We start from the raw sequence: 7273 nt of genomic DNA on the forward strand, positions 1-7273 counted from the left end.
GTTTCACCATATTGGCCAGGCTGGTGTTGAACTCCTGACCTCAAGTGATCTGCCTGCCGCAGCCTCTGAAAGTGGGCCTCTCATTACATTTTAACTTGCTTTATTTAGTATAACTTTATGTGTATCCTAGAATGAATTGATTGTTCAATTAATTGAATATCTAATCACGTGCCTGGTGTTCTGCTGGATATAACATGGAATACAAAGATAAAAAAGACCACAGTTATTGGCATCAAGAACCTTAGTCTAGTAAGTTGTTTGTATACCAACAAGGACACAACAGTAAATGAAAACGGGAAAAGGAGGAGGAAGAATGTGCTCTGAGTATAGAATGAGTTAATGTAAAGACTCCAAGGACTTCTACCAAGTCCTCCAGAGGCCTAAAATCCTACTAGGATATGATGAAGATGGTTTTCCTAATAACTTCACTGTGCTCCTTTTCCAAAAGATGTGTAATGTTAATAAAGGGATGAGCCATGTAGTTCTGATCCAAGGCAGTGTCACGTTCAAAGGAACTCAGCCACCAATAATAATTTCAGAATATCTCAAATACTTTACATGTATTTCTCACGTATCATGAAGGGGATTGTATTAGTCCATTTTTGCATTGCTGTAAAGAAATACCCGAGGCTGGGTAATTTGTAAAGAAGAGGTTTAGTTGGCTCCTGGTTCTGCAGGCTGTACAAGCATGGCCCTAGCATCTGCTTCTGGCTAGAACCTCAGAAAGCTTACAGTCATGGTGAAAGGGAAGGGGAGCCAGCACACATATGATGAGAGCAGGAGCAAGAGAGGGGGGTAGGCGGTACACTCTTGTAAGCAAACATATCCTGCGTGAACTTTGAGAGCAAGAACACACTCATTACCAAGGGGATGGTGCTAAACCATTCATGAGAGATCCGCTCCTGTGATCCAAACACCTCCCACCAGGCCCCACCTTCAATATTGGGGATCACATTTCAAAATGAGATTTGGAGAAGACAAACATCCCAACCATATCAGGGACACATAGCTCTCAGAAATTTTCCTAAAAAAATGTTCTTTTCTCTTTTCTACAAGCTGCCTTCACACCCCACAGCTATTCTCACTCCTAGCTTCTCCCCTGAGCCATTTCCTCTGCCTCCAGCTTGGGCTGTTTTTACTTTCCTCTGCCCACCCTCTCCTGTGAAGTCTTTTTCTTCTTCCTACCACCTTGCAGGCATTGCTTCTTTCTGTTGGTTCTCTGACAATTCTCCATTACTGATGCCAAAGCATTGCTTTCTTTTAACATGTCTTCTCTTCTCAGAAGATAGAGGAGAGGAAGAAGCTGAACAAAGCCAGAATCTTGTTTTGCAGACTTGGCAAAACTCTTAAAGGAGTAGTTTTTCTGTCCTTAAGAGGTAAAAATCTTTCTTAAAGCCTACCAAATATGAGGTTCTGCACTTTATTCTGTTCACCTCTTGCCCATTTAATTCTTCAATTTGAGTTCTGTTGCCTATTCCTTTTTGTATGTCTGTTACTGCACATTTCATTGTAGCTGATTTCACTCAGAAAATAGCCTTCAACTATAGAAATGTAGGTCAGCATCATATATATTTAGGATGTCATTCATATGGAAGATAAAAGACAAGAATCCCTATTGCAAATTTCTTCTTTCCTTAATCCATTCTAGTACATTTCAGCATTGTAGGTTTTGGTACCTTGATTTTTCTTATCTCGTAGGAAAAAAAGTGGGTTCTTTCATATTAATATTCAGGACCATGTATACACGTGACACAATAAACCACCATTAAAGAGATTATTTACCCAAACATAATATTTTCTAAAATTGATCTAATAAGTAAATAGCTATGACCATCAGCATGTGTATTGTAGGAATGAATTTGATGAAGTATTCATAAATTACGGGTTGAGGGATGAATTTTTGAGTAGCTAAGGGGCTCTGCAACTATGCTGGTTGACTGCTTATACACACATATACACACATACAGTTTAATAATTACATGGGGTATAGAAAAAGAGTTGGACAAATAAGTCTCATCCAAGTCTTTTCCCACCAAATTTGTCTCCGAACTAGGAATGCTAAACAGCTCAAAACTAGTGGACGTGAGCTTTATCCAGTTCTCTGCTTCTTCCCACTCTAGTTGGAAGTGCTAATGAACTGACAGCTCGAACAAAAGCCAGCACACAGTAGTCAATCACATTTTTATTGCATAAAAAATGAACCCCCCCCAAATCAGAGCACAAAATGATACAAGATAGAAGGGACTTCAGTGTATCCTGTTCATTTCTATACTGCGTATCTGATCCCTGCATAATCACAGAGTGGCTAAAGATGATTCATCTGAAAGACCTATTTAAGGAAGGAAGTGAAAGTCATAGGCTAAAAAATGGCCCATAATCAGGTGCTGACAGTTGTGTGTTGAAAGGTTCTATGTAAAGCCAAACTTTCCAACCACAAAAAGGGACCTGTTTTGTTCAACATTCTGGAGCAAAGAAATTAAGGGGAAAGCCAAGCTAAGATGAAAGGCCTAGAAATAGTTTTAACTTTCATGCTTGACACAGGAAAATAAAAGAAACCTACTGAGTAGATTAAACAAATAAATGTCCAATCATGCATTTAATTTGAATTCCCATGAAAATCTGTCAAATTTGTAGAAAGACTCCTAAAGTTTATTTTTGATACTAGATAGGCCATCTCCTACGCCAAAAATGGAAACGCCTCATAAAATTGTATACAGGTGACTTGGCGATTCAGTGGCAGACTGTTCAGATTGTTTGTTATTGATGTCCCTTGCTGCTTGCTTGTAAATTCATGTACAGATTCATTCATTCATGCATTTATTCTTTTTTTTTTTTTAAATTCAACACATACTTAGTTACTTATTCATGCTGGGCATTGGGCTAGGCTTTGGAGACACAACAAATATCTCTTCCTCTGTTAAGAGACTTAGTCTAGGCTGGGTGCCGTGGCTCACGCCTGTAATCCCAGCACTTTGGGAGGCCGAGGCGGGTGGATCACCTGAGGTCAGGAGTTCAAGACAGACCAGGCTGGCCAACATGGTGAAACCCCGTCTCTACTAAAAATACAAAAATTAGCTGTGCGTGGTGGTGGGTGCCTGTAATCCTAGCTACTCAGGAGGCTGAAGCAGAAGAATTGCTTGAACCCAGGAGGAAGAGGTTGCAGTGAGCCGAGATCACACCATTGCATGCCAGCCTGGGTGACAAGAATGAAACTCTGTCTCAAAAAAAAGAAAAAAAAAAAAAAAAGAAAGAAAGAAAGAAAAGAAACTTAGTCTAGTTTGTCAGAGAAGAAAATGAACTTTTTTCTTTCTTTTTTTTACTGTACAGTACTGTAAGTGCCATGACAAAAATAAGCCCATTCAAAATGCCAATTCAGACTGGGAAATCAAAGAAGGCTTCTGGGAAGTATTAATTGCTGAGCTGAGATTTGAGAAAGAGTGGGTTTAGCCAGATGAAGGAGAGGCACTAGAACATGGTTGCTAAATGCGTGGATTCTACAGCCAGGCTCTCTGGGCTCAAGTCTTGTTTTTTCCAGTAACTATGCATGACCCCAGGCAAGGTTCCCAACCTCAATTTCTCAGTTCTTCAATTTCAACCTCAATTTCTCAATTCTTCAACCTCAGATTCCTCAATTTCTCTATGAGTGGGGGTAACAATAGTACCTACCACTTACCTATCCCAGGTTTGTAAGGATGAATAAATGCATTGATATTCCCAAAGTACTTGGAAGAGTGTGTCTCACTTAAGTGTTACATAAGTGTGTGATGAATAAATACAGGGGGAGGATGGCGAGTGTCTTGGGTGGCAGGTACGGCTGGTGCAATAGCTTGAAACGGCATGCATGCTGCATTTAGAAGACAGTAAAGAATAGAACGCAGGGTCCATGACTGAGGAGCATCAAAAGATAAGGCCGGAGAGACTTGAAGGCTTTGGTAAGGAATGTGGTTATTTTCCTAGACACCATGAAGAACTCTGGAAATATTTTAAGCAAAGAAGTGAAAAGATTATATTTGCATTTTAAACAGGTCAGTCTGGCAACAGTGTGGAGAGTGGAGTGCATGATGGCAGGCAACTCTTGGAGGCAGGGAGGCAAATAAGGACAGTGTTTCCAAAAATTGCCTGATAACCAGACTCGTCTGGGGTGCTTCTAAAATATGCAGATCCCCAGACCCCTTTGCACTCGATGCTGACTCAGATGATTTGGAGCAGGTTGGGTAATCTATGTTTTGAACAAGCAACTCTGGTGATTCCTGCCTTTTCGGATTTTGCACTGAGTTAGGTGGAGGTTGTAGGCATCTAGGTGAGCAATAATAAGGATTTAAACAAGAGGAGTAGAAACAATGTGGTTGGAGAGAAGGCAGCAAATTAAAAAAAAAAAATTAAAGCCTAGCACGTTGGGAGGCCAAGGCAGAAGGAGTTTGAGACCAGCCTGAGCAAAATAGTGAGATCTCGTCCTTCCAAAATAAAAATTAAAAAATTAACTCGTTGTGGTGGCTCATGCCTGTAGTCTCAGCTACTCAGGAGCCTGAGGTAGGAGGATTGCTTGAGCCCACAAGGTGGAGGCTGCAGTACATACCACTGTACTCCAATCTAGATGACAGTGTGAGACCCTGTCTCAAAATGAAACAAAACATAATGATAAAGCAGTAAGACTTGGTGCCACATAGGAAGGAGCCTAGAATGACACTCAAATGTTTGGCTTTGGTGACTGTGTAGATCGTGAAAGAATTTGAAAGAAAAGCAGATCTGGAAGTGAGGTTAATGAGATCAGATTCAGATAGGTTGAGTTTGAAGTGTCAGTGAGAAGAGTCTATTCAGAGGCTGCATACATATGCCTGAGTGCAGAAAAGAGACCTGGGCTGGAGACTTGTAATTGGAAGTCGTTAGCACATAGGTAGTAGCTGAAGCTTTACAAACTCCAACATTTAATCAGTGGGTAGAACATAATCCCATTTTATTTGTTCATTAATTTATTCACTTAATCATTTATTCAACAAATCAATTTTAAATGCATATTTTGTGCTAGGTGCCCTGCTACCCACTTTTTCTATGCAGGAGACTGTGAAGAAACAGCTAAGAGGAAAAGAAGGAAAAGAGTAGTACTATCAAAGTCAATGGAGAAGATTGCGTCAAGTGACACTGAGACTCCAAATGAGACAATGAGAGAAAAAGGTCCCCTGGACTTAGCCAGAAACAAAGAGGTCATTAGTAATTTGGGAGAGAATAGAATAGATTCTGTTGAGTTACGGGTAAAGAAATTGGATCAGAGGTGTGGCTTGAGGCATGAATGGGTAGTGAAAAAGTGAAGTTAATGAAGGAAGAAGAGAGAAAAATGTGGCAGACTGCAGACATGGTTATAAAATCTTCTACCTGTTTGCCTGTCCCTTTGCAATATTTCTTTGCAGCTACTCCCATCAAGAGGTGGAGTTTATTTCCTCACCCTTTGAGCTGGGCTTGGTGATGTGGCTTTATTGTGATCAATGGGCCATTAGCAAATGTGATACAAACAGAAGCTTGAAATATGATTGTGTATTGGGGCTTGCCCACTCTTGCTGCTTTTGGGAGCCTTGTGACTGCAACCAGGTAAATATAAACCTGGAGCAATTTGCTGGAGACCTGTGGCCAGTCACCTCTGTCACTCTGCTGGCAGCCAACAACAACTGACAGTACCAGCCACCAAACATTGAGTGAGATGTTGAATCACTCCCTAGCTGATCTACTCACTGACTGCAGCTGCATGGGTGAGCCTTGCCAATTCTAGCAGAAGAACTTCCCAGCAAAGTCCAGCCCAAATTATTGATTCACAGAACAATGACTATTATTTTAAGACACCCAGTTTTGGGTGTAGTTTCTTACACAGCAAAACCCAACTGATGTAATAAGACCTTGTCTGAGTGTCATGGATTTCAAATGTCTAAGTTCTCTGGAGGTTTGTATGTGTCTCTGGGACTTTTGGCTGCAGTAGAAGGTCAGAAAAGCTATAGTTGTTCTTAGTCTCTTTTCTCTTCCTAACACATTGTTCCGGATAGAAACAAAAACAGAGTAGTATCCTAGAAATAGAATAACTGGGTTGCATAGCATTATTGATTCATGCAATGATATGGCTGAATCTTAAAATAATTATGTTGAGCAAAAGAAGCCAGACCAAACAAATAAACACAAGGAGAGTATGTATTGTATATTTCCATTTATTTGAAACTCCAGAAAATGTATAATCATCTATAATGAAGAAAGCAGATTAGCTGTTGCCTGGGGATGGAGTGAGGAAGGGAGGGACAGATTACCAAGAGGCATGAAGAGACTTTTAGGGATGATGTATATTCATTATTTTGACTGAGCTGATAGCTTTATGGGTGTATACTCTGTATATATGTCAAAACTCTTAAAATGATACATTTAAAAAAGATATATAGTTTAATGTGCAGTTTACCCTTGAACAACTCAAGGGTTAGGGGTGCTGACCCACTGTGCAGTCAAAAATCTGTATACAACTTGTAACTCTCCAAAAACATAACTACTAACAGCCTGCTGTTGACTGGGAGCCTTACGAATAATGTAAAGTCTATTAACACATATTTTGTATGTTATAGGTATCATATGCTGTATTATCACATTGAAGTGAATTAGATAAAAGAAAATGTTATTAAGAAAATCATAAGGAAGATAAATATATTTACTCCTTTTTTTGTTGTTGTTTTTTGAGACAGAGTCGTCTCGCTCTGTAGCCCAGGCTGGAGTGCAGTGGTGCGATTTTCGCTCACTGCAACCTCCGCCTCCTGGGTTTAAGCCTAGCCTCCCTCGTAGCTAGGATTACAGGCGCCCACCACCATGCCCAGCTAATTTTTGTATTTTTGTAATTTTAGATTACAGGTGCCTAGCACCATGCCCGGCTAATTTTTGTATTTTTAGTTGAGTCAGAGTTCCACCAAGTAGGCCAGGCTGGTCTTGAACTCCTGACCTCAGGTGATCTGCCCACCTTGGCCTCGCAAAGTGCTGGGATTACAGGCATGAGTCACTGCATCTGGCCTGTTTACTCTTAAGTAGAAGTGGCTCATCATCAAGGTCTTCATTCTTGTCATCACATTGGGTAGGCTGAAGAGGAGGAGAAAGAGGAGGGGCTGGTCTTGCAATCTCAGGGGTGGCAGAGGAGGAAGAAATTCACATATAAGTTGATCCTTACAGTTCAAACCAGTATTATTCAAGGATCAACTTTAAATCAATTATACCTCCATAAAGCTGCTAAAGAGAAAAAGAGAAAGAAAATCTTTGAATT

The 7273-nt window shown here is 40.4% G+C and overlaps 1 annotated feature.

Moving 5' to 3' along the window:
• Positions 3784–3833: an enhancer, noted in NCBI's record as "active region_6711". NCBI's record gives its function as "activates an Ori minimal core promoter by ATAC-STARR-seq in GM12878 lymphoblastoid cells {active_cell/tissue: GM12878}" and the evidence as "EXISTENCE:reporter gene assay evidence [ECO:0000049][PMID:35858748]".

Source organism: Homo sapiens, chromosome 12 (genome assembly GCF_000001405.40).
Source record: "Homo sapiens chromosome 12, GRCh38.p14 Primary Assembly".
Lineage (NCBI taxonomy): Eukaryota > Metazoa > Chordata > Mammalia > Primates > Hominidae > Homo > Homo sapiens.